Source organism: Homo sapiens, chromosome 3, assembly GCF_000001405.40.
Source record: "Homo sapiens chromosome 3, GRCh38.p14 Primary Assembly".
NCBI classification, from domain to species: Eukaryota; Metazoa; Chordata; class Mammalia; order Primates; family Hominidae; genus Homo; species Homo sapiens.
This window is the reverse complement of record NC_000003.12, coordinates 178,525,252-178,551,296: the sequence shown is the minus strand read 5'-3', so window position 1 is coordinate 178,551,296 and position 26,045 is coordinate 178,525,252. Positions and strand designations below refer to the sequence as shown.

The following is a 26,045-nucleotide window of genomic DNA, read 5'->3' as shown; positions in this document are numbered from 1 at the left end:
TAGGAGATAAGTTTAGAGTGAATTCAATGTGTAATCTACAAAATAGGATAAGATACTAGTTCATCAACTACTAAAAAGCCCTCACAGCCAGCCTCTGGGAAGAAAAAGCATCTGTACTGTTCCTTCATCCTCACCGGCCCTTTGTCAACTGCCCTCACTCTTACTTTCCTTTTGGGGAAAATTTTTTCTTGGAAAGAAAAATCTGCATCCTCACCACTTGCTCAGTCCTTTAATGTCATTGCAACCTGATTTTGGTGCTTATCCTCTTTGTGGAAAATGGTCTCCCGCTTTTTCATTGAATTCAGAGCCAAAATCCAAAATCCAAAATCCAAAGCTCTTCCTTTGAATTCTCTGTAATATTTGACATGATTACCCACTCTCATCTTAATAATAAAAACAGGAGTCATTTATTGAAATGCTACTATGTGCTGCACTGTGCTAGCCACGTGGCATACATGATTTCATTTAACTTATACAAAAGCCCTTGTGTGGCCGGTATTCAGATCCCATTTTACAGAGGAGGAAACTGAGGCACCGAGATGCTAACTTCTCAATATCACATAATTGCCACACTAGTGGCAAAAAAGAGATTGGAACCCTGCTAATACTGATGTTCCTTCTTAGAGCTTTGTTCTTTTCTTAGCTTCTGTTCGTAATATTTTTTCTGTCTATTAAAATATCCAAAGCACTGTGTAACTTTGTATGGCATTTCTCTCACTATCTCACTCCTAACTCCTGGGAACTTGACCTACCTCTTGAATAATGTATAATCCTCAAGGACCTCTTTTATTATAATGCCTTCGTGGGGCAAATCTTTTTTTTTTTTTTTTTTTTTTTTTGAGACGGAGTCTCGCTCTGTCGCCCAGGCTGGAGTGCAGTGGCGCTATCTTGGCTCACTGCAAGTTCTGCCTCCCGGGTTCATGCCATTCTCCTGCCTCAGCCTCCCGAGTAGCTGGGACTACAGGTGCCCGCCACCATGCCCGTCTAATTTTTTTTTTTTTTGTATTTTTAGTAGAAATGGGGTTTCACCATGTTAGCCAGGACAGTCTCGATCTCCTGACCTCATGATCCGCCCGCCTCGGCCTCCCAAAGTGCTGGGATTACAGGCGTGAGCCACTGTGCCTGGCCGGGCAAATCATTTTTTAACAAAGGAAATATTAGACAAAGAATCTCTCCTTGGGGTTGCAAAGTCTGAAGATTAAAGTAAGAATCTGAGAATGACATCAATTCCTTAGTTAATTTACTTATATAGCCAACATAACACTGACCTTATCAAGGTAAGAGTTTCCTTTAAGTTAACTGGTCAAGAGGTATTTTTCTTTTCATAAATAATGCAAGGGGATAGAAAGATAGCTGAAGAGAAAAAAAAATATGCATACTTTTTTATAAGTTACATTTGGAAACTATTGTTATTCTGATTAACGACAAAGAATTCCAGCCAGGGTAGAGTGTAATGTGATTTAGATAAACTCTAGGTAAAGTAACAATGCACAGGAGAGAAATTTGAGCAAGTTTGCATGATGCTCAGATGGACCGTAAACAAGAGACAATGAGTGTTGTTACTTTTCTTGTTGACCTTTATTTAACAGAACTCTCTCATTAGAAAAGAGCTTGCTTTAGCTTATTGTTAAAACTGCTGTGTGCTCACCTGCTTTGAAAAAGGAACAGGCAGCCTGACATGGTGGTTCACGCCTATAATCCCAGCACTCTGGGAGGCTGAGGCAGGCGGATCACCTGAGGTCAGGCATTCAAGACCAGCCTGGCTAACATAGTGAAACCTCATCTCTACTAAAAATACAAAAAAAAAAAAAAAAAAAAAAAAGCTGGGCATTGTGGTGTGTGCCTGTAATCCCAGCTACTTGGGAGGCTGAGGCAGGAGAATCGCTTGAACCCAGGAGGCAGAGACTGCAGTGAGCCAAGATTGTGCCATTGCACTCCAGCCTGGATGACAGAGTGAGACTGCATCTCAAGAAAAAAAAAAAAAAAAGAAAATAAAAGAAAAAGGAAGAGGCAAGGTAAGCCCCGAGGCAGATTGTTTCCCTTCTTTTCTCTCTTCTCTCTATTTCAGAGTCTCTCTAATTCTTCTCTCTCTTCATGCTAATAGGGTTAGCATTACTATATTCATTTATATATTCAGTGGGCAATATTTGTAAAGTGGATGTAAAGCATAGTATACAACATTATTTTAAAGAAAAGCGTACTAAAATATAGAGAACCACCAGGTATAATGAAATTTCCATTTTGTTAGTGAAAATAAAATATTAGCCATTTCATATTGCTTATCTTTTTATAAGATACCTCTACTTATACTGACCAAAATTCTATAAAGTAAGTGACATAATCTCACTTAATAAGGGAACTCAATTATTTGCCCAAGGACATGCACTAGATGGATTTTGAACTCTGGTCAACTTTCTTTCTATTCATCAATTCATCTTTTCATAAAATATAGTTCCTGTCTTCAATTTTGTAAGTAGAAGTAAAAAAGGAAAACTTATTTATACATATAATTATGTTACAAGCAAGTACCAAAAGGTAGAATCTGCTGAAGGAGTTCAAAGATTGGAGAGGCTCCTTCTAGCTTGGAGTGAAAGGAATAGAAAAGGAAGAGGAAAAATGTGAAAGGATTAAGGGGAGGCTCTATTTAAGAGGAACCATTGAGAATTGGTAGATTTTGGGAGGTGGAAATGAGAGGGGAAAGAGACCTTTTCTGGAGGTTTGAAATGCATGGGGCTCAGGGACAGAGATATAAAGACATGATAGGCATGCTTGAGATATGGCAAGTAGTATAGTTTAGTTGTAACAGGATGAGAGAAGGGAGGTAAGGATTAGGCTAGAAATTCACCTGGCCATCAAAAATTGGAGGGTCTTGACATCCAGTCCTAGAAGACTTGATTTGCTTGGTTAAGTGAGAGCCAATGGCTGTGATGAGGGAAGTTCCATGATCAAGGTCATGCTTGGAAACTATTCATTTGCATGATCTAGGCAGAAGAAACCCAGGGCAGAAAGAGATTGCAAGATCTATCTATAGTATTTGGTAAATTTCCAGGCCTTACCCAAAAAGATTCTGATTAAATATGGGCCACATGAAGTGATGTTTTTACAAAGCTCCCCAGATAATTCTTGTGCAGGTGATTCAATAACTACCACTTTGAAAAATATGAGGGTAGAGTTGAGGAGGTTATTTAGCAAACTATCTTAATAACCAAAGTGTTCCAATAAAGGGACTTTATTTGTCTGTGAAGAGAAAAGTGACAGAAACAAAAGATATTTTGAAAGAAGAATCAGTAGGCCAATTAGATCTATCGTTGGAAGAGGATTCAAAGACAATTATTGGCTTTAATAGCTGGAAGATTTGTGGTACAATGAACAGAAACATGAGACAGTATAGATTTATTAGGTCTGATAAGAGTTTAATTTTGCCAAGTGAATTTTGAAGTCTAAAGATGACAGCCACAGGGAAATGTCAACATAGGTAGTAGACAACACAGGACTTGGGTTGGAAGAGCAAGGTTGCAGCTGGAGAGATGGCTTCGGTTTTAAGTGTGGATAGATGATATTTCCAATTACTGAAAAAAGCTCTAAAGTGTAAGAGAAGATAAAGAACCCAGGAAAGGAGAAAAGATAAAAAGAACTATAAAGTAGGAGAGAACCTGGGAAGTTAAATAGTTAAACATAATTCAAGTCAAGTAAAGAGAGGATTTCAAGAATATACATGTACACATACACACATACATACATACACATACACACACATATATGAAATAGAGGCAGTGAGCATACACTATAATTTTAAAATGTTTTATGATGAAAGGGAACTGTAGTCCTTTTCCAGTGTTCCATAATCTCACCATCTATCCAGTTGTTTAACCAGAAATATAGCGTTATCTTTGACATCGTCTCTTTCTCTATCCACATCTCAAATATAGTCCATGAACAACTCTATGAAGTGATTTTCTGTCTTAGTTCATTTTATGCTGCTATAACAGAATACCTGAGACTGAGTAATTTATACAGAACAGAGATTTATTTCTTACACACCTGGAGGCTGGGAAGTTCAAGGTCAAGGGGCCAATGGTGGAAAGCGGAAGAGCAAGAGAGCACACACACATAAGAGAGAAGTGAAGGAGGAAAAGGGGGCCCAACTCGTCCATTTATTAGGGACCCACTTCCACAATAACTAACCCACTCCAGCGAAAATGGCATTAATCCATTCTGGAGGGCAGAGCACTCATGACCTGCTCACCTAAAGGTCCCACCTTTTAACACTGTTGCATTGGGGATTAAGTTTCTGTCACGTGAACATTGGGAATGTATTCAAACATAGCACTTTCCAGACACATATTCTTCTGGCCATCTTTCCGCCATCTCACAGCTGCCTGGGCTAGGCTAGCATCATTTGGATTACTACAGTAGACTTTCATCTGGCTTCTTGGCATCCACTCTTGTTCTTCTCCATTTTGATCACAACACTGCAGTCATAGATACCTTTGGAAAGTGCAATTACCTTGTCAGCCCCCTGCTTAATACCTTGGATGGCTTTCCATTCCTCTTAGAATGATGAGCAAACTCATTCGTGTGACCTGTAAGGTCTTACTTAGCATGGCTCTTTTCTACCTTTTAGCCTTATTTCCAAATACATGCTGCTGACTCTTGCTCTCCAGACACATTGACACTCTGTCAGGGCACAGTCCCCACTTACTCCCTGTAACAGGCTATAATTTAAAGGGTAGTAGGATGGAGAATGAATTTTTAAAACGTGTAGACACCTTAGGACGTTCATAGGTTGTGGTGAAGTAAGTAGCTTCCTTTTTATCTTGTTTATTAATTTTCTTATTACTTCTCACTAGAATACAAGCTGCAATAAATGTACTTAAACACCATCATGTGCCTGAAATCAAAATTACAACTTTATATGCTTATATGAAAAAAGATAGCTTTCTTCATTTAGGCATGTAAATCAGAGCACATTTGTTTTCTTTATACCAGTTTTTTTCACTTTCAGTTCAGCAAACACTAAATCCACGTGTCAATGGGGAAATAGACCTAGAAGACTGAGAAGCAGATTGTTATAGACATTCTCTAGCCAGTTTTCTTTGTACCAGTTCTATTGTTATATTTTCTATATCTACAAAAATTTTCTCATATTTGGGTATATGTTATCTAAACCTTCCTTCTCCTTTGTACATAAACTTTATTTCTCTGTCAACTTTTCTTTTGATTCATTCCAACAGAGAAATGAGTCCTGTGCTGTTCTATTTTTATGTTTTCAAAGCAAACAGTTACCTTGAGTTATCTACACAGAGAGCCTCACATGGCTGTTCCCAAGCACCACACAGATAAAACCACCATGAAGCAAAGTTAAACCAGTGAATGATCATCTTCACAGAGAGGGAGAAATGGGACCAATCCTGTCAAAATGCGATGAAAATGTGGCCTCTAAAATTAGGTATTATTTTCTTCTGGATGTCAGGTTTCTTTTCCCCCTTCTAATTTCCTCATTTGAAATATAGTAGGAAACAAACAAACAATCCAGAGACAACCAATAGTTCCAGAATTTCTACAGAAATAGAATCCCTCTGTAGGAGTTTTAGTTCAATTTGATGGGACTATACATTCTTCATATAGTCTAAAATTTTCAGATGTTTATGCAAAACCAAACTCAAGACATTCAAGAATTATCTCACGAGCAAGATTTACCAACTGCTTCTCTATCCTTCTCATAAAGTGCCTTATGCAGCATGTCCGGAATGATTCTCTGCATCTGATGCAAAGCAAGAAAGATTCTAGATTTGCATTTGAATTGCTGGCTATTTTTAACTTTCTCAGAGTTTTACTTTGAGAGATATTTTACCTTTGTGGATGAGTTATGGAGTCAGGTGCTTGACCTTTACCAGCTTTCCAGTGAAAAATCCAATGAGGAAAAGACTTCAAACGTCTTACAAAACCAAACTCATTATTTATGAAGTCCTGAACTATGTCAGTGACATTCCCAGACACACATAGTGTAGTAAGGGCTTTATTTCGAGAAATTCCCAAATTGAATCCTCTTTAGTAAGAATCCTATGTGGACTAATTTTGTAAATGATTTCCAATCATAGAAATGCCTGTGAGTGATAGGATTCTACAAACAAACGGGCAGCATCAGAACTCACAAGCTGCTCTTTCCTTCCCCTTCTATAAGAGCCCTCTCTACACCATGGTGTGCAAAGGGGATTCTGTGGAATTAAAACTTGTGTGGTTTCTGGAACCCTAAATCCCCAGTCAAGCAGTCTGGTAAATAAAGATAAGGCATTTACTTGATTTCCCTAATATGGCTTTACCTCAGGGGACAGGGTAAGGAGGAGGGCATATATTAATCAAGAGGTTGTTTTTAAAAAACCTATTGTATATACTTAATATAGTTCTAGTCACCTGAGATTTATAAAAAACATCGTTGCTGCTTTCAATGAGTTTGCAACCTAATTATCTGGCTAAAAATTAGACTTTAAAATTTTAGTTGCATATTTTACTACTTGCCTATTTTTTTTCTCATCAGATAGATTTGTTGAAAACTGAAAATGAGCTCTGATGTCCAGAATCTTTTGGAGTTTTAATTTTACACTCAGGAAAACACCAAGATGACAAGGAATCTACATGTGGGACTCAGCTGACATTTTCCCTATTTAGTATAATGCTGGCAAATGTAAGCCAAAGCCCTCCTGTCCAGTATTATAAGTATCTTCTCTTTCTTTCCTAAGAAGTCAGCAGACTTGACATTTGACTGCTTATTCATTTCCTCCCCTCTCCAGAGCTGAAATTCTCACCCAGGATCATCTGTCACCCGGGCTTTGATGAGGAGGGGGTTTAGGCATTTGCTGTCTGAACTGTCAAACTCAAAGTCAGCTTTGAATGGAAGGTCCCACCATGTGCTTTAGAAAAATAGGGTAGTGGCTGTGGGCAGACAGCAGAGAGGAAGGGAGAGAGAAACATTCTGAAAGAGCATCTGATGTGGGCCTGGGAATATAAAGAGAAGAGGTGAGAGGACAGGTGAATGAGAGTTTAGTGAGCCCATGGCAGATCCAGGGCTTAATTATTATAAAATAATTCCCTGCAGCACTGTATTTCTGAGGTGTATGATTTTTTTGACCATGTGGGCATTTACCCTTTTTAGGTCAAACTGGACACTAAGAAATATACTATAGATATGATTGATTTGTTCTTTCAAGAAACACTTATTGAGCATTAACTACTGCCATGAACTGTGCTAGGCATTGAAAGTACTGTGATGACGATGACCTAGTCCTTAACCTTTCAGAGACTTACAGTTTAAGGAGGGGTGGAAGGAGGCAGATAAGTGAACCAAATATCACAGCATAATGTATTAAGGACCGTGGTAGAATTATGCACAGAGTATTCTTGCAACAAAAAGGAGAAACATATTGTGAAGATTAAGAAAAAAATCCAATCTTAAAAATCTGTGACATTTTTATGACAGTGACACATACACACTTTTGGAGAGATATACTAGTGTCGGGACCAGTTGCACTTACAGAGGAAGATATGAGAAATTACAAAATATTAAAGAACACATCCCCCAAAATTCAACCATTAGTTACCAAGCTTCAGGAATCGGAAATTTGAGAAGTTATTTGGTACAGAATGAAGCTCAGAATTGACCAAAGAAAAGGAAAGTTTAACCTATGTAGTAGATCAGGATTTGAGAGTTTCCCAATAGTTTAATTGGAGGTAGTGACATTTTTATTGAGCAATTAAATGAAACACCCTTTGGATTCAAAAATTAATGCTAAATCTAGAGTAACTGATGAGGTTAATTCCCAATTTCATGCACGTTGTGCACTGAAGTCATTTGTATGATCATGCATTCACCTGGTCAGTTTCTCAGGGTTTCAGTCAGCGCAGCCACAGACAGAGTGAAGACACTGGACATGTTGAAGCTGAAGTCTGACAAGGTACTGGGTTGAAGTTCTGTCCCAGGTATGTGAATTATAAAATTAGGTTTGGTATCTCAGAGAGGCAGACATTTTCTTTGATTTTTCCAGAATTGCTTCTTTCATTTTGGGCCTAATAAGCAGTGAGCAAATGTCATACATTTCAGGAAAATTGGTTTCTGGTTCTGGTCAAATGACTCTTAAATGACATCTATTGAATGAATTTGGAGACATGACATGCCAAGAAGTAAAAACTAAAGGGGACCTTTAAACCAAATCTTGCAGTATTATAATACATGCAATTAAAGTTTATAGTTTCATCTTAGATGATAATAGTTTAATACAAATAGGTCATAGGCAGTATGCACTAATTTGTGCCAAGCATGGTGCTAACACCTGGGCACAGGTTATTTCATTTAATCCTTGTGACCCCATGAATAATATACCATTACTACCTACATTCCTTCTGAGGAAAGGGAGACTCAGGCAAGACGCAGAACTGGGATTCAAACCAAGATATTCAGGGCTGTGAAACTGGTTTTCTAATACTCCATTATACAGCGTGTCTAGAAAGGGCTTTCTTAATTTGTAAATTTGCATTAATTCAGATTGTTTCCTGGGAGTTTGAGTGTACTTTTGTTTAGGGAAGGAGTACATGAGACATCTGTATTGTTCAAATATGAAAGAAAATTCTATTCTTTAGATTCTTCCTTTAAAAAAATTCTCCTAACCACCAGTAGCCTTCAGTCATCAAATACATTAAAGACAGTTAATCTAACATTCTATTTATCAGGAGTCTTTACAGCTGAATAGAGAGTAAATTTTGATAGCATAGTAGCTCTTTGACCTTGAGCAATTTGATTAACTTTCCTACTTTTGAGTTTTCTTATCTGTTCAATGGAAGGTATAATATCTACTGCTGAGGTATGCTGTGAAGATTAAATAACAATAGTAATGAGATAACTATTACTTTTTGAGCTTCTCCTCTGATCCAGTTACTCTAATGGGAAAGTGGTATATATTATGACATTTAAACTTCAACCCAACCAGGTAGTTATTACTGTCATCAATTACCACTGAAGAAACTGAGGCTCAGTAAGGTTTAAGAAACTTGCCCAACATCATGTAGCTATTTTTATATATAAAGTTTCGGTGCTGCAAAAGGAATAGCACTAGAATGTAAAATTTTCTTTTTAATTCTTAGCAAGACAAGTTACTTCTATAGAAGGATGCGCCCTTACAGATGGATCAATGGTGAGCGCACACTTGGACAAGGGAGGGGAAGGGGTCCTCATCCCTGACACACGTGGCCCCTGCTGCTGTGTTGTTCCCCTATTGGGTGGGGTTAGACTGCACAGGATAAACTAATTCCAATTGGCTAATTTAAAGAGAATGACAGGGTGGGTGCTTTGGCTGGAGTCGGAGCAGAGCAGGTAGCAGGTAATCAGAATGAGTCAGGGTGGAGAATGAGCAGGTGATCGGACTGAGTCAGGGTGTAGTAGGTAATCGAAAAAGGTTGCTTTATGAGGAAGTTAAGTTTAAAAGTAGAAGGCAAAGAATTGAACATACTGATATTAATTCTTTGAAAAGAAATTTAGAACTCATATCTAACAACATGAAGTAGAAAAGGTGAGATTCAAACCAAGTTTATCTTGTCTTAATGCTTGTGTTTGTCTCAGATGCTGCATCCTTTTCACATCACACTACCTCTTGACACTATAAAACATTCTAGAAATATTGGACATTATTATTTAAATCCAATTTGTACAATAAGATTATTCTATTATATTTTAATTAATTGAAAAAATGTATAAATGGTAGAGAGGTCACTGTTTAACAGACCATGAGATTGTACCATGCTGATTTTGAAAGTGTAAATGAATAGTACGATTATTGATTGTATTAACTGATTACTACTGCTGCACAGGCTACTGGGGCTTGTACACTTAGAAAGCCATACTGACCCCAATCATCCCTTCCAACTTGGTTTTACCATCCCTTTCCTCATTGCCAGGGGAGAGCAAAGAAAATATAGGACGTGTCAACATTTATAGTCATTTGTATAGGAGATCTGTGAAAATGTCCTTTTTGAAATAGAAGTCATCGTTTGGATAAGATCAAATTCAGACAAATTGAATTTTTATTTGCTTTGACATGGATTGGAATCAGTGATGTGATTTTTTTTCCCCCTCCTGTGCAGGCAGGGGAAAGAAAACCATCTTGATAAATTTCCTTAACTTTCTTGAAGGTGCTCTTTGGAAAAAGCAACAGAGTGTTATGACACAGAGCTCTGACTCTGAGGTTGAAAATCTTATACTTGGAATCTAATGCTACTAATGGATTTTGATGAAGGAAAACATTTAATTACCACATTGAATAATTTGTTCATTCGTTTGACAATTGCTCATTAAGTGCCTACTACATAAGAGACCCTATTCTACGTGCTATGAATACTTCAGAAAGTAAATAAAAATTCCTGCTTTCATAGAGTTTACAACTGAGGAGAAGGGAGATAGACAATAAAATCTTAGCATGTAATGTCCTGGGGATAATATGGTATGCTATGGAGAAAAAGAAAGCATTGTCTGGGAATAAGAAGTGTACAAAGGGGTGTGATTTGAAAGGTGTTTTCAGGGAAGTTTTCTGACATTCAGCAGAAACCTGAAAAAAAGTAAAGAACTGAGTCAAGTGACTATGCAGGGGAAGAATTCTTTAGGCAGCAGGCAGAGCAAGTCAAAGCCTCTGAGGTTTGAGAGTGCTTGGTGGATTTGAGCACTAGCCCAGGAGGCCAGCGTGGTGGCAGTGGAATGGAAAAGAATGGTAGCAGAAGGGTACAGGGAGGAACCAGATTATTCCAGGGCACATGGGCCACTGTAAGGCCTTGGCTTCTGTCTGCAGTCATACAGAAAGACATTGGAGGCTTTTGAGCAGAAGGTAGGACTTAACGTCAATATTGAAATGACCACCAGTGTTGGGTAGAGAATAGAACGTGTGGGTGGGAGAAGGGAGGCAGAAGTAAGAGACCAACTGTGAAAAATGTGTAATAATGTGAGAGTTGGTAGTGACTTGCCCAGAGTGGTAGCAGTGGAAATGACAAGAAATAATTAAAGCTAGGCACAGTTTGAAGGTAGAGGCCTTAGGATTTCCTGTGATGTGCAAAAGAAAGAGAGGATCACAGAGGACTCCAAGGTTTTTCTTCTGAGCAAGTGCAACAGTGAAGTTCCCATTTACACAGATGGAGAAAAATATAGAAGGAGGACATTTTGTGGAATTCCGAACTTTGATTTTGAACATATCCTGTGTGAGATGCCTGTAGACATTTAAGTGGAAATGTTATGTAGGTAGTTGGATATGTAAGTATGGAGGTTAGAGGAAAAGTCAAGGTTAGGGATTAGAATTTGAGAGCTCTGTATACGGGAAGTTTCTGAGGGCTTGACACTTGATTGAACTCATTTAGGGCTTAAGTATAGATAAAGAAGAAATTTATAGTTGATCCATGGAACACTCCAATATTTAAAGGTTTAGGAAATAATAAGGAACCAGCAGGAGATTGAAAAAGTCTCTGTTTATAAAATAAGGAGAAATCACACACACACGCACACATGCACACTCAACACACACACACGCACACACACACTCTCTCTCTCTCTTTCCCCTTTTTTCAGAAACCTGAGTTAAGAGGTAGGAGTCAGTCCCTGAAAAAGGATAATGCTGTTTTTCTTGAAGTACCAAGAAACCTAAGGATGAAGAGGATTTGACAATGGAATGGCATCTTTAATCAGTTGTGCTTAGACAAGCAAATGACTTTGGAATTTGAGGTGAAGACATACTACATGATATGCAGCAGGATCACAGACAAAGATGGCAACAGGGGCTGGAGATAAACTTTTATGATATGTCTTATTCTTACTATTGATATAATAGATGCTCTTTGAAAAAAAATGCAACCGTGCAAATGTATGAAGAGAATAAAATGCACCAATTCCGCCTCACTGAGATAACTGCTGTTAAAATTTTGATGCATTTTTTTCTAGTTTTTTTCATACACACATATGCATTAACAAAATTATATACACATTCTTGCAGTCTGCTTTTTTATTTGATATCATAGCAGAAATATTTTTGGAAGCTTTATTTTTAATTATATTTTGATGAGAGGGAGAGATGATCAAAGGGAAGATTGTGTTAGTTTGAGAAATATCTGGTCCAATATCTTCCAATAAAGTAGGATGATGACTGTCTGTGTATATAAGAGAGACAGAGAACAAGGACAACTCTGGATTCTAAGTGTCTTGGTGACTGATACGATGGCTGTGTTACCCATGGGGACTGAGGAAACAAGACTGACTAAAGCTGTGCTTATTTTTTATATCAAGGGGGACTGCAGACTTGCTTTTTGCATAGCTGGAGAATTGTTTGTTTTTTATTACTAGATGTAGAAGAAGCTGAAAGAAAAAGATATCTCAAAATGTTTTGGCTGGTATCTACCAATGTAAACAGGCAATAAAATTAATTTGTGATATAAAGTAGATTGTTTTGACTAAATTACTTGGTTTGGCTTTCCTCACAGCTTATAAAGAAAAAAAAACAAGCACCATATCTCCTCTATATTTTTCAGGTTGTGGGCATACAGTTCAGACACATATATCATCAAGAATACGGAAACTTTTTCCTCATCAATCTGTGAAAATTGTGAAAATTCATTTTAGTTTATCAGTAAAGTGTTATGAGCATAACCATAGCAAAATAATTTCTCCTGTTGACAACTTTCAAGGCACGAATTGCCTCTAAAGTAAATACTTGATGCAATTAGATTCAGAAGATATCGGTAAGACCAGAGGCAGTGAAAGTCCTTTTACCCTTAATGAAATTAATGAAAATAATAGAAATAATATCGATTTGTAAACCTCTAACAACAGTAAGTAAAATGTATGTGTGTATTTTTGTTTGTGTATTTTGAGCTCTCTCTTTCTATACATGCATTCTTGACTGGTCAGTTGGCTGGAGAAGGGACTTCACAAGGTCAAGGGCACACATTTCACTGGTAACATAGAAGCAGAAAACGATGTCATAGCTATCAAATGCACCAAGAATTCCATACAGTCATTTCGTGGACATGTGGTCTGGTCACGTAAAGACCAGCCAAGAGAGTTCGGCTGGTTCAGTAAAATCCACCACACTGTTAGGAAAAACAAACAGGAAACTGTAACATAGATGCCATCTACTATGGGGCAATGATTTCAACTTTGTATGTGGATTACAGTATATATATAGAAGCTCACAAATACACAAACTCAACTGCATCAGAGAAGAGCAAAAGCCCTATTTATCCTTAATTGCAGTATTTAGCTGAAAACAAACATACTCTAATCATCTTCCAATTTTATTTCTAGTTAATTCTGCATTAGTATGGAAGTTTTAGATGCATTTGAAGAATATTGCATTCTTTTATAAATTTATAATTATTTCACATATCTGCCATTCGTTATAACCAATCTATGCCTCAGAATACAGAGTTTTTCAGAATATAAAGCAACATCTTTACAGCTCGGAGTTTGTGAAGTCCACTGGGGAAACAACACAACAGCACTGAGAAATTCACTTACTATGTTTCTGCCACTTCACATTGAGGGTCATATGCAATGACAAAGACTGAAATTTGCACCATAGATCAAGTTGAGAAAACACTGGTTTCTGATCATTGTACTTTTGCCTTAGAAATCTCAGCCTGTGATTTCCTGACATTTCCTTTTCTGATTGTGCTATACCGATCCCATATAAAGTACAAAGCAGTATAATAAGTTCCTCTGCAAATCTATTCATTATCGACTGGACTTTGGAACCCAACTGCCCCTCCCATCTTTGAAGGAGAATTGTGTTTTTATGCTGTTCATTTAAAAAACAAAACAAAACAGAAAGGTAAAATGTCAAGTCCATAACCTCTAACTAATCACCATTTCCATCTGCAGCCCCAGCAGTTGTTGAAAAGCAAGAGCAGGAACCGAGAGAAAGCCCCTTCTTTTAGTCGAAAACTCTTACTCTGCTTAGGAAAACCATGAACCCAAACAGTGTGGGTCAGCCTTTCAATATGCAAAACGGACGAAGGTACCCAATTTTCTTTTATAATGGATTACATAGGAAATAGTTCTTTGTCAGGGAAATTTGTCGTAATCTTCCAATTTCCCCTTTGAAAAATCAGACTCTGACCATCAAAACACATTGACTGTAGAAATAAAATAACAGGTTTCAAATCTTAAGGACAGCTTCCTCTTTATTTTTCTTGGACCTTTATGCCTTCCACCCACCAAAGTCTTCACTCGACCCTACCAGTACAGTAGCCCAGCCGGCACCACAGGTAAGAGGCAAAGTGTTTCCTTCGTGACCTCTAAGCATTCTACTCCACAGGAAAAGCAACGTGGAATGCACACTCAGCAAGCTGTAAGCCTGGAGCCAGTTTGTCCTGGAGGCATTTCTGCCATAAAACATAATACTGTCCACTGTGTTTTGCTCTAAGCAGAGCGTCTCCCACTCCCCTCTCCCTCCTCTTGCTGCTTCTCACTCCGCACCTGGCTGCAATTCACGATCCTCACGCCACAGAACAAACAAAAAGCATGAAACAGCAACAGATTCCTTTGTTTTACATGCAAATCCTACCTCCGGTAGTTGTCACATCTTCCTCAAAAGCCACGCTTAATTTTTAATGACAGCGATCCGGTGCAGTCCTCCAAATAGCCACCGGTAATCATCATTACCTCTTGTGCCTAAAGCCTTTGTGGACCATTAATGTCACAACCCTTTCTAACTCATAGCTTTAATACTCCCTGCTCAAAATGTCTGAAAGAGTTTGGAAGGACAATAGGAGTGACAGGCACGCTAGACAGCCATGCTTGAAATTAGTTATCTGGAGCTCCGTTAAAGCTGCTTCATACTGTTTTAAAGCGTGCAGGAGGTAGGATTTATTAGCCTATGATAGGCATGCTGTTTCTGTTTTTATTAAATACTGTAATAGGCTGTCTGTTAGCAATGCTGTGATAGGTCCAACATCACTTCCCCACTGCTTTCGAATTCTCATATTAAAAAGGGAGAGAGGGCTCACAGTCTTCCTTCCCAGACCGACATCGCCCTGCACTGGATCAGATTTCCAAATCCTCCTTAACTATAGGAGAGAGAGCCAAATAGATATTTTCTATATGGAAAGCGAACTTGGTAGTAAACACTCTAGGATTCTCCAAACAATTTTCTCACTCCCAGTAAGGGATTCCTGCTCTTCCCAGTTACAAAAATAAGTGTTCTCTGGAGTTAGGTATGAAAATCAATCCAAATAGGAAAAGTTCTCATTATTACTGAGATATGACTTAAGGTACACATGTACACAAAATCTCAAATTATAGATCAACTAGACTGAATGGATCATTCAGTGCATAAAGTGTTTATTTTATGCTGACTTACAAAGCTTTGTGTTTCAGGCTGAAGCAATCACATGCCATGCACAACTGTCAAACGGCAAGAATGAATGATGGATGGAAAGAATGGGAATGTGTACGTTATCTTGCTCCACTTTGGACAGTCATGATCATGGAAGATAGAAGAGGGATTTCTTAACATTGGTCAGAGAAGAGGGTATCAGTTAGCTGGAAGTGCTACTCTGAAAAGTTAAGTACCTTTGCAAGTAAGGAAGCGGAGAAAGTTCTTAATAGAACTACACAATTTATTCATTCTCTTCCGCATTTCCTTTCTTCCTGCTACTCCAGGAGCAATAGTATTGTAGTAGTTACTACGGAAACTAGATGGTGTGCTCCAGGGAAGGGCTTAAAGAGAGCAGCAGATGTAATATGGATGGACATGTATTATACTGGCCTATAGAACTAAAAATGAGTAGCAATTAACAAACAAAAACTGCTACAAACTACTACAACAAAATATTAGAGAGAATGATTATAAATCACCACTACTTAATTATTGGTAGTTTTGTAATCTAGAAATGCTCTAATGATCGGGTCATAGCATCCATTATTTTATTATATGTAATAACTGAATATCTGAATTGCTCAGATGTCTGATAAAGCAAAGACGCTGTTTCCTCTGCTCCTTTGTCCCTCCCTCCCTCCCTCCCTCTCTGTCTTCCTTCCTTCCTTCTTTCCTCCCTCCCTCTCTCCCTCCCTCCTTCCCTCTCTCCCTCTCTCTCTTTCTTTTCTTTTCCTCTCTCTCTCTCTCACTCTCTCTCTCTCTCACTCTCTCTCTCTCTTTCGAGACAGGGGTCCACTATGTTACCCAGGGTGTTCTCAAACCTTTCTTTTTCTAAACTCCTAGTTGTCAGTTTGAATATGCCCTAATGGTGTGTGAGTTTTAGTTGTTACTTGACTGGTTACAGTTTCTTCTCAGGAATAAAACGTGATTTAGAGGAAAACTGTCCTAGTATCACAAACCATAATTTTGTTCTCTTTGAGTATCCTTATAGTGGTTTTCCTGGGACAACCAAAGTCAGAAAATACTTATTGCAACTCAAATTAAAAAAAAAAAAAAATCTTTGCCCATTAAATTGGTAGGAAAAAGAGAAAAAGACTTTTTCAAATTTTCAGTTTTCCAAGTAGTAAAAGAAAAAAAATTCTTTTATGTTAAGAGTCCAAGACATTTCACTAGCCTCATGGTCATCCAAGAGGAACTATTTCTCACCAGCGTAATTAAATTTTCACAGTTGTGAGGAGTCCAGCGAATACAAAATTATTTTCTTTAGTACCTCAACTTCACAGTTTGTAATTGGAGTAACTGATACCACTGAAGTGTGAGTATAAAAACTCCGAAAAGAAATTGTTGAAAAACAATGCTTAAAGATTTTATGAAAATCCTGTCTTTTATAGGCAAGCAAATAATCCAAACATTTGTAATAGAAGAATTATTTCAGGGGAAAAGTATTTGTGATATTCTCTTTTAATAATAATGGGGCTGAGCACGGTGGCTCACGCCTGTAATCTCAGCACTTTGGGAGGCCGAGGCAGGCGGATCACCTGAGGTCGGGAGTTCGAGATCAGCCTGACCAACATGGAGAAACCCCGTCTCTACCAAAAATACAAAAAGTTAGTCGGGCATGGTGGTGTATGCATGTAATTCCAGCTACTCGGGAGGCTGAGGCAGGAGAATCACTTGAACTCGGGAGGTGGAGGTTGCAGTGAGCCGAGATCGTGCCATTGCACTCCAGCCTGGGCAACAAGAGCGAAACTCTGTCTCAAAAAAACAAAACAAAACAAAACAAAAAAAAAAAAAAAGGAAAAGTAATATTACAAATTATATCTCACAGTTATTTTTTCAAATGTAAGGAAGTGTTTAAATTATAACCTAAACACCACCACTATATGATTTAGAGAGAGAAAAGAAGAGAAAAGAAGAGAAGAGAAGAGAAGAAGAGAAGAGAATAGGAGAGGAGAAGAGAAGGGAGAAGAGGGGAGGGGAAGAAAGCAGAGAGGAGGGATCAGAAAAAATACCCCAGTCGTATACTTCCCTCCAATTTTTATCTGTGGCTAATTCAGAAAACAGTGGCTAAAAATACAAGAGATAAATGAATAAGATTTTGATAATGGGATAAAGCGAGAAGGTGGGCCTGGGGCAGGGATTGTTAGTGACGCTTTCTGGAGGCTCTGTTCCTGGAGGAGCAAAGAAAGCCCCTAACTCAGACCCATCTGAGAATAAAGGAGGTTTCTGGAAGGAGCAGTGTTCAGATGGGAATGGGGATGGAGCATAAGATGGTTTGTTGTGGTAGTGAAAGAGGAGCAGGAAATGAGGAAGGGACGCTGAAGGAGGAGAAAGAAGAGAAAAAGGAGAAAAGAGATTTATGAGGAAGGAAGGAAAGAATTTCTTGAGATAGCATGGTATTGGAAGAGGGCACAGGCTTTGAAATAAGGCAGCCTGACTTGGAAACAGTTCTGCTAGCCTGTTTCCAGTTCACTGTGTTCAAATGAAATGATAGCAATGGCTGTTCTAAGACTGCAGTGATGTGAATGAAAGGACATAATGTATGAGTGAAGCTCTTTACAAAGAGATGTACTGAAATAAATGTTAGTTATCACAGAGCAGGAAGAAAGAGGGAGATGCATGATTGAAGATGAGGAGAGGGCCACAATAGGAAAGAGAGGAGAAAAGGGATAGGAAGAAAAGGAAGCATGAAAAGAACCTCTCTAGGGGAGGTAGAAGAGAGAAAAATTTCTCCTGTTGAATCATATAAGATACAATCTCTTTCTTGCATTTGTTTTGTTTTCTGGATCACATTTCAATAGCTGTTCCTTTAGTTTTACCTCTATCATGAAGTTTCAGATAATAAAGTGTCTTTGAAGCTCATACCTTCTTCAACAAGAGAGAAACCTATGCTGAATTTGTTGAAAGCTTGTTCTACCATTTTGAAAACAGCTGATCGGAGGAGTGAATTTAGTAACTCTTAGCATTACTTTTCTGGATGGTTCCCCAGAGAGTGAAGTTTGGGCCGGCAGAAGGCAGGGACTGAAGTGATATTTCAGAGCTATATTACCAAACACATTCAGCAAGAATATTTTGTGCATCTGTAACTTGATAACATTTCAACAGCATCTGCTCCCTGAATGTACATCAGAGAACTTGTTCTGGAAAGAATTTGTGTGTGTTAACAAATATTAGGTTAAGAACTGGAGACTGGGGGAGAGTGGTGTGATCACACATACACAGAATTTGCAGTTTACGTGCACAGCCCGCCAGTGAAATGGTTTAATGAATGGAACAATGAATGCATAATTTCATTATGAGTCATCACTATTAAAATGAAAATTTGATAGATACATAACCAGAAAATGTAGCTATCTGTTACAGACACAAGTGCTAATTATATTTTGGAGTATATAATTTATGCTCTGAATAATACAGCAAGTAACTGCTTTTGCCCTATTATGACTATTTTTCCAGGAACAACAGGAAAGTTAGTTTAGACACTGCTTCCTTACTATTATATTTCTGTGAATGTTGAAGCTGACTCACTTTGAAGTGATCTACAGTTCCACATTAGGTGCATACAAAAGGCATTTTCTAGTATAAACTCAAATGCATAAACTTAGAAAGCAATTAAAGACAACAGTTGAAGAAAATCTAACATCAAACCAGCATCTTATTTCTAAAATAGAAATGAAATGCTTTAATTGGTCCATATCACTTTTCACAAAAATTGTCCTTCAAATTTAAATTTCTCTAAAAAAGTTTTCATGAAATCATAATTTCTAAAAGTTTACATTTCTGGAGTATATTTGCCCACATCACATTTGATACTTTTAGAATAAAGTTATTGGGTGGCAAGGCAAATATTAATAGTTACATTTCCATCTAGGCAAATTGAGGATAAGGGAGGTTTAATGATTTTTTTTGCAATCACGTAGCCTGTGCGTATGTCCTCATAATCCAGTGTTCTTTTTATTTCATAAAACTTTTCACCTAGGTCCTGTATTTTTTAGTTAAAACTTCTACTAATATATGCAGCAGAAGATTTTTTAAAAAAAATTTTAAAATAAGAGAGACAACAAAGAGAAGCTACGCACTGGTAGAAAATATTCACAAGACATATTTTATAAAGGACTGCTATCCAAGCTATACAAGGAACACTTAAGACCTAGCAATAAGAAAAACACACAACCTGATTAAAAAATGTTCCAAAGACCTTAACAGACACTTCACTAAGGAAGATATATGGATGGCGAATAAGCATATGAAAAGATGCTCCACATCATATGTCATCAGGAAAATGCAAATTAAAACAACAACACACTACCACTATGCACCTATTAGAAGAGCCAAAATCTAGAACAGTGACAACACCAAATTCTGGAGAGCAACAGGATGCAAGAGCAACAGGAACTATCATTCATTGCTGGTGGAAATGCAAAATGGTGCAGCCACTTTGGAAGACAATAAGCAAAGCATACTCTTACCATATGATCCAGCAAACAGGCTCTTTGGTATTTATCCAAAAGAGCTGAAAACTTATGTCTACACAAAAACCTGCACACAAATGTTTATAGCAGCTTTATTCATAATTGCCAAACTTTGGAAGAAACCAAGATGTCCTTCAGTAGCTGAAAAAAATAAACTGTGGTACACCCAGACAATGGAATATTATTCAGCACTGAAAAAGAAGAGCTCTCAAGCCATGAAAAGACATGGAGGATAGTCAAATGAGCATTACTAAGTGAAAGAAGCCAATCTGAGAAGTCTACCTACTGATTCCAGCAACCTGATGTTCTGGAAAAGTGAAAACAATGGAGACAGTAAAAAGATCATTGGTTCCCAGGAGATGGGAGGTCAGGGGAGGGATAAGTGGGTGAAGCACAGAAAATTTTTAGGGCAGTGGAAATAGTCTGTATAATACTGTAGTGACGGATCATGTCATAATACATTTGTCCAAACCCATAGAATGTACATCACCAAGAGTGAACCTTAATGTAGACTATGGACTTTGGGTAATTATGATGAATCTAAATATAGTTTCATCAATTTAAAAATTAAATATAGGTTCACCAATTTTAATCAATGTACCACTCTGGTGGGAGATGTGGATAACGGGGAAATCTCTTCATATGTGGGGCAAGGAATACAGTGAGGGGGTATATGAGAAACCTCTGTGTCTTCCTCTCAACTTTGCTGTGAACCTAAAACTGCTCTAAAAAATAAAGTTTTTAAAATAAACTACAGAAAAAAGCATAAAATAAGAGATTGCTGGAATATATATATATATATATATATATATATATTTTCTCCTTCTATGTGACAAATACTCATGGCTTTTTAAGAAACATTTTGTTTTATTGCAACTTATGTTTTTAAGATAGAGTTGCTAAATATTTTTAAAAGGTGAACTATAGAAATTCATAATAATTCTAATTACAGACTCAATATTGAATAATTCTGTAATAATTGCAGCTGCCCAGGACTTCCTGACCGGTGGGTTACAAGCAAAAACCCACCCAGTACGACCACGATTTGGGTCATGTTCTTGGATTATTTGATTGCTTTCCCGTCTCTCTTTATCACAATTAGGAGAGCAAGTCCTATAGGTCCTAACCCCCACCACCAACCTTGTGGCAGTTAGCCTTACCTGCAGGTTTTATATAGAGTTATTACCATTCTGTGTGCATGTGGTCAAATGGGAGAAGGAGGTACATAATAATATAATATACATATTAATTAATTTTATCTAAATTTTCAGAATAGTAACATCCTCTCCAACACCTCCCTGATTCCCCACCAAACACAGATAGAGATGCTGCAGAGCCCACTCTTGGATCCCATGAGAAAGCACTGGAATAAGCTAGTTTAACCACTTTCAGAAGCAATAGTTCTTTGGCTGAGGCATTGCATTTGGCAGAAGCTTATTGGGGCTTCATTACCATCCTTCTGAAGCCTGTCAGAGTACTGAACATAAATCAGTTTTAAAATAAAACATAAAATAGAGCATTGACAGTTGCTGAGGTTTTATTTCATTTGGAATCTCCTACTTCCCAGGACCTAGCTGCAGTCTTCCTGCTTATTGGAAATATGGACTATATGAATGTGGCACTCCAGGCTCTGTGTATCTATGTGCAATCAATGGGAAGATGATACTGGTTGCTATACAACATAGCATTAGACATGATACCTGCTGCTTTCAATATTATGTTAATTAAAAGACATCTGTCTTCCAAACAAAATGGAACAAAAACAAAAATCTTTGGTATGCAGAGAGCTCTAAGGTTAGCTATAAAAGGCAAAGATTTATGTGTATGTTGGTATTTACATTTATGTGTATATTTTATTAGCTCATTTTATGTTGCTAGATTCTTAGAGTAAAAGAAGAACCACTTAATAAACAAAATGCTATTTAGCAAAATGTGAATATTTTTTGTGAAACGTTCACTTTACAAAATGACAGCATAATCCTGATAAATGTATTGTGTCTTTGCTAGGTGGAGAATTTTTAAGGGCTTATTAAATTCTAGGCATCTAGAAAAGTCTTAATAAATATTTCCTTGTTTCATAATTTACTTAGAAAAGGAATTGGCAAAATGGATATAAACACATACATTTGCATATTGAAGTATATTTGTAAAGTTGCTTTCATAAAGGGTGTAAGTTAGATAGGATGGTAGTGTCATTGTATGTCCTGTTTTATTCCTTAAAAATGAAACAAAAAATCCCTAAACCTTGTTTAATTCAGATTATGAAAGGGATACACACTCAGTATTGAAAAATTGGAGTATCGAAAAAACATAAAAATTAAAAGTATACAAAGAGTATTTTAAAAGTTTCCTATCATCCCACAATCCAGAGATAACTTCTATTATAATATTAAAGAGCATTTTATTGCATCTAGTTTTATATATTTATTTTCTCCTTATCCTTATGTTTTCCATGTTATTTTGAAATCTTTAAATCTTTTTAATAAACATATAGTATTTTGTCATATGCATCTTCTGTAATTTTTTTCAACAACCCTCATTGGTTAACACACAGGTTATCTTCCTTTTTCATTAGCAAAATGGCTTTGCTGAAGGCTTAGTACCAAAATCTTCGTCTACATCTCTGATTACATTACTTTAGGATAGATTTCCATGCGTGGATTGTTGGGCTGAAATGTACGAGGATTCTAAAGGGTCTTGGTATGTTCTTGCTGAGTTGCTCTGTTGAAGGGTTGTACCATTTTCATAGCCCCATGAGTGGAGTATGACTCTACTTTTGGCAGAAGAGTCATCATGGTGAGAAAAGAATGCTTTATTCCAGTCTTCCACACAGGTTTATTTCATTTTCTTTTTGCTTTTGGGACTAAAGTGGAAATCACTTGTCATGTAACAAGAGGGGAGAGAAAGGGGGCAAAGGAAAAGAATAACTAGTGTTGGCATTTTTATTTCAGTTTCTTGAAGTAGAAATGTTTTCATTCTTATTGTGGGAAGAGGGAAAGTGAAGAACTACTGCAAAGTCTGGTCCCTAGATTCATGTTGTTCCTATTGTTCAAAGCAAAATCTCTTCCTCACTGTGTCCTTTAAAACCTTGGGTATTTCTACTTCCAGGGGATTCTGATGTAAGCAAATCCACATGGTAAATCTGGTGTGTCTTCCTGGAAAATCAATTTGCTCCAAGACTGTAGGGACAGGAGTTTTGAATTTTTGTGTTCTGTAAAGTTTTTAACAGATGCATAAGATCAGGTTATTCAACATCATTAATAACGTAAACTCAGAAAAAAAGATCAATTTTATGAACTGGGAGTCATTGGGAATCTGGAACTATTTTGTCTTCAGGGAGCTTTTGTGATAGAAGTCAAAATGAACAGAAAACAAGTCCTCAGTGAGAACTGGTGATGCTAATACAAAAGGATGGGAGCGTACAATTTCTTGGCAAGTTAGAAGAAACCTATGTTGCTTGCTATATGGAGAAAGAGTTTATTTCCTAAGATTCAGTATTTTTTTGGTTGTTACACATAAGAAAACTGCCCACATACAAATCAGATCAACATCTTGCTAAAATTGCATTCAATTAAATGTTAATTTAAATGAGTCCCTGTTTTATTTTAATTTCTACCAGTGAAGTAACTTAAATTGTGTGTGTGTGTGCATGATTCTAGGGCCATACCTAATTTATGTCTTAAGTATGCTAATTCTAAAGTTATATTTTCAACTGTGATAGCTCTCTGGCTAGTTAAAAACAGTAACTCTTAAAATGAGCTTGAAATATCAGGAAATATGCAAGATAATGAAGGAAATTAAGAATAACCTGAAATTATAGACACGTGTCAAAACTGACATCCTTAAAGCTCTCTACAAAGTGCTTGATAGCAACAAGGTTGATAGCATGACCCAACTATGTCTGGAAAACACATAATGAGAAGCATCCAGACTTGTCAAAAAGTGTAGAATGTACCCAAATGTTTATTTAAAATTTGAGTATATTATCATGGAAATAGAGAATGACATTTTTTCTTATACAAGAATACAATGGATAAACATTCCATGAATCTATCATTTCTGAAGGGAAATTTAAAAAACAATCACAGAATTTTTGAAGAAAAAAATCACTAGAGTTTTGCCAACTAAAAGAAAAAGTCTTGGGTAGAAGTACTAGAATGCATTACAAAATCAAACAAGCCATTCAAAACAACTTGACATTATCTTTAAGTTTAAAGCGTTACCTTTTCCATTTCTCTTAGAAAATGAAGTTTATGAAATAGAGACACTTTGGTGAAATCTTAACCATGCGTGTGGCCAGATGGTGACTTTGTAAAAATTAGAAAAAGCCACCCCTTCATCAGAATTTATGAACCTTCTGTTAGAAAATAATCTCAATAAGTAGAAAAACACTATGATGTCTACATATATGAATGGCGGCTCTGGAATCACAGCATAAAAAACCTGCATGACTACAGGTGATAGTCTTGTATTTCTCAACTGAGAAGTGGTAGCACAGGCCAAAATAATTGTGGCAAATTTGTGTTTTAAAAAGGATTAGGACTAACCTTCCTCTTTCCCTTATATTTTCATGATAACTTGGATAATTGTCTATTTTTATTTAATACTGTATTTATTAATGGTCATGTTTGTGATATTAATTTGCAAATTACTCAATTGTATTAAATGATGAAGAATTGTTTAGTAAGTGAGTTATTTAACAAAAACAATAGTAAGTGCAAAAATGTATTAACAAAGAAGAGATTTTACGATACAGTTCGTTGAGTGTGGCTCACTTCCACTCTTTTCCTTTCTCCAATAGACTGATGGCCCTTTGCAGGTGTGACCCTGAGCTCTGCTGGATTTCTTGTGAAGAAAACTCCAAGGAATGGATGAATGCCTGGAAACTTACTGCTGGAAGTCATAAGGCAATGACAAGAAAATAGCATATCATTGGAAGACTTGACCCATGGGATCTATAAATTCCTAGGGAAGCTCCTTACTATAATTTGTTTGGTTTCTATGGAATCCAACAAGAAAAGAAATAGCGAAACATGTGGGTTGTCTCCTCTTTGGCACTAAGCCTGGGAGAATATGAAGATATCTGAAAACAAAGAGGCTTCCTTCAGGTGTTCAGGAGGGGGCTAACACTGCCTACTTGTATGTCAAGGGCCCATGGGAGTAGACACTCCCAGAATGCTACCACTTGGATTCTCCAGGGATCATATGTGATACCAATCAGCTGACAAAGAAAATAACAACCCATCTAAGGGGATTCAGCAGCTAGAAAGAAAATGAGTATGCCAAGCAAACTGAATACACGACCAGCAAAATAGAACTTCAAAAGGAGACAAAATACAACATTCTCTCTCTCTCTGTGTGTGTGTGTGTGTGTGTGTGTGTGTGTGTTTGCATGTAAATAACAAAATTCAAGTTCTGGACACAATTTTTAGAGCTAAACACATGACCTTCCAACTAAACTTTTTATTAGATATCAAAGAAGCTGGTCACTGTTGAGGTGAAGATCAAGTGCAAGATACATTTTGAGGCACAGAGCAAAAATGTAAAGAATCAGAAAAAGACAAGAGACTTGAGGATTTAATCCAAACAACTGAACAGCTAAAAACAAGAGCTACAGGGGCAGAAGAAGAAAAAGTTTAAGAAAGAGACAGTATATTATTTTCTCTGAGAAGAGGTAAAGCTGGAAACCTGTTGTAAGCAAGATTTATTGAATTTTCTCATCATAGTCTTAAAAGAGCAGTACTCCAATAGGTCTTGTTTACTAAAGGAAGATTTGTTGAAAGAATCAAACAACTGATGGAGGCTGATGAAAAGAATACATGACGATCAATGACACTTGGTACACACGTTCACACTCACAGACACATACACAAACGTTGGATAGGAAAAGGCTGGCTGGCAACATGTGGCAACAGTGCTCTGTAAGGACTCTTGAAGTAGAATAAATAGTCTTACTGAAAGAGGAATTCAGATTATTATTTTTAAAAACTTGGAACAAGAGTTCTAGGCTGACTCAGCAAAAACTAGGAGCCAGGCTAGGGGAGGGGATAAGTAAAAATCCTTCCAAAGGATTCCTATCTGGGGAAAGGAGGAGAAGGCCAAGCATTTAAGATCTCATATTACAGAGGACAGGAGAGGGAGCACATTGAGAAGAAATATAGCATCTTGGTTGTAT

At 37.2% G+C, this 26,045-nt stretch overlaps 1 protein-coding gene and 1 long non-coding RNA gene across 4 annotated transcripts in view, besides 2 other annotated features; one reads left to right on the top strand and one right to left on the bottom strand.

The window, feature by feature from the left end:
- KCNMB2 (potassium calcium-activated channel subfamily M regulatory beta subunit 2) overlaps window positions 1-14,861 on the bottom strand; it is a 307,994-nt gene extending 293,133 nt beyond the window's left edge. For both annotated transcript variants that reach the window (XM_011512325.3, NM_181361.3), the window contains exon 1: window positions 14,586-14,861. The gene's annotated coding sequence lies outside the window, so the exon portion shown is untranslated. The remainder of the gene's footprint in view (window positions 1-14,585) is intronic.
- The window catches only part of KCNMB2-AS1 (KCNMB2 antisense RNA 1), a 334,939-nt gene extending 309,109 nt beyond the window's left edge, over window positions 1-25,830 (top strand). The window contains exons 6-8 of one of the 2 annotated variants that reach the window (NR_126560.1): window positions 13,901-14,036; window positions 15,398-15,583; window positions 24,672-25,830. This is a non-coding gene — a long non-coding RNA (KCNMB2 antisense RNA 1). The remainder of the gene's footprint in view (window positions 1-13,900; window positions 14,037-15,397; window positions 15,584-24,671) is intronic. The other variant, NR_126561.1, reaches the window with a different exon arrangement.
- Window positions 5,664-5,713: a silencer, noted in NCBI's record as "silent region_14907". NCBI's record gives its function as "represses an Ori minimal core promoter by ATAC-STARR-seq in GM12878 lymphoblastoid cells {active_cell/tissue: GM12878}" and the evidence as "EXISTENCE:reporter gene assay evidence [ECO:0000049][PMID:35858748]".
- Window positions 14,231-14,300: an enhancer, noted in NCBI's record as "active region_20852". NCBI's record gives its function as "activates an Ori minimal core promoter by ATAC-STARR-seq in GM12878 lymphoblastoid cells {active_cell/tissue: GM12878}" and the evidence as "EXISTENCE:reporter gene assay evidence [ECO:0000049][PMID:35858748]".
- Window positions 25,831-26,045: the final 215 nt, after the last annotated feature.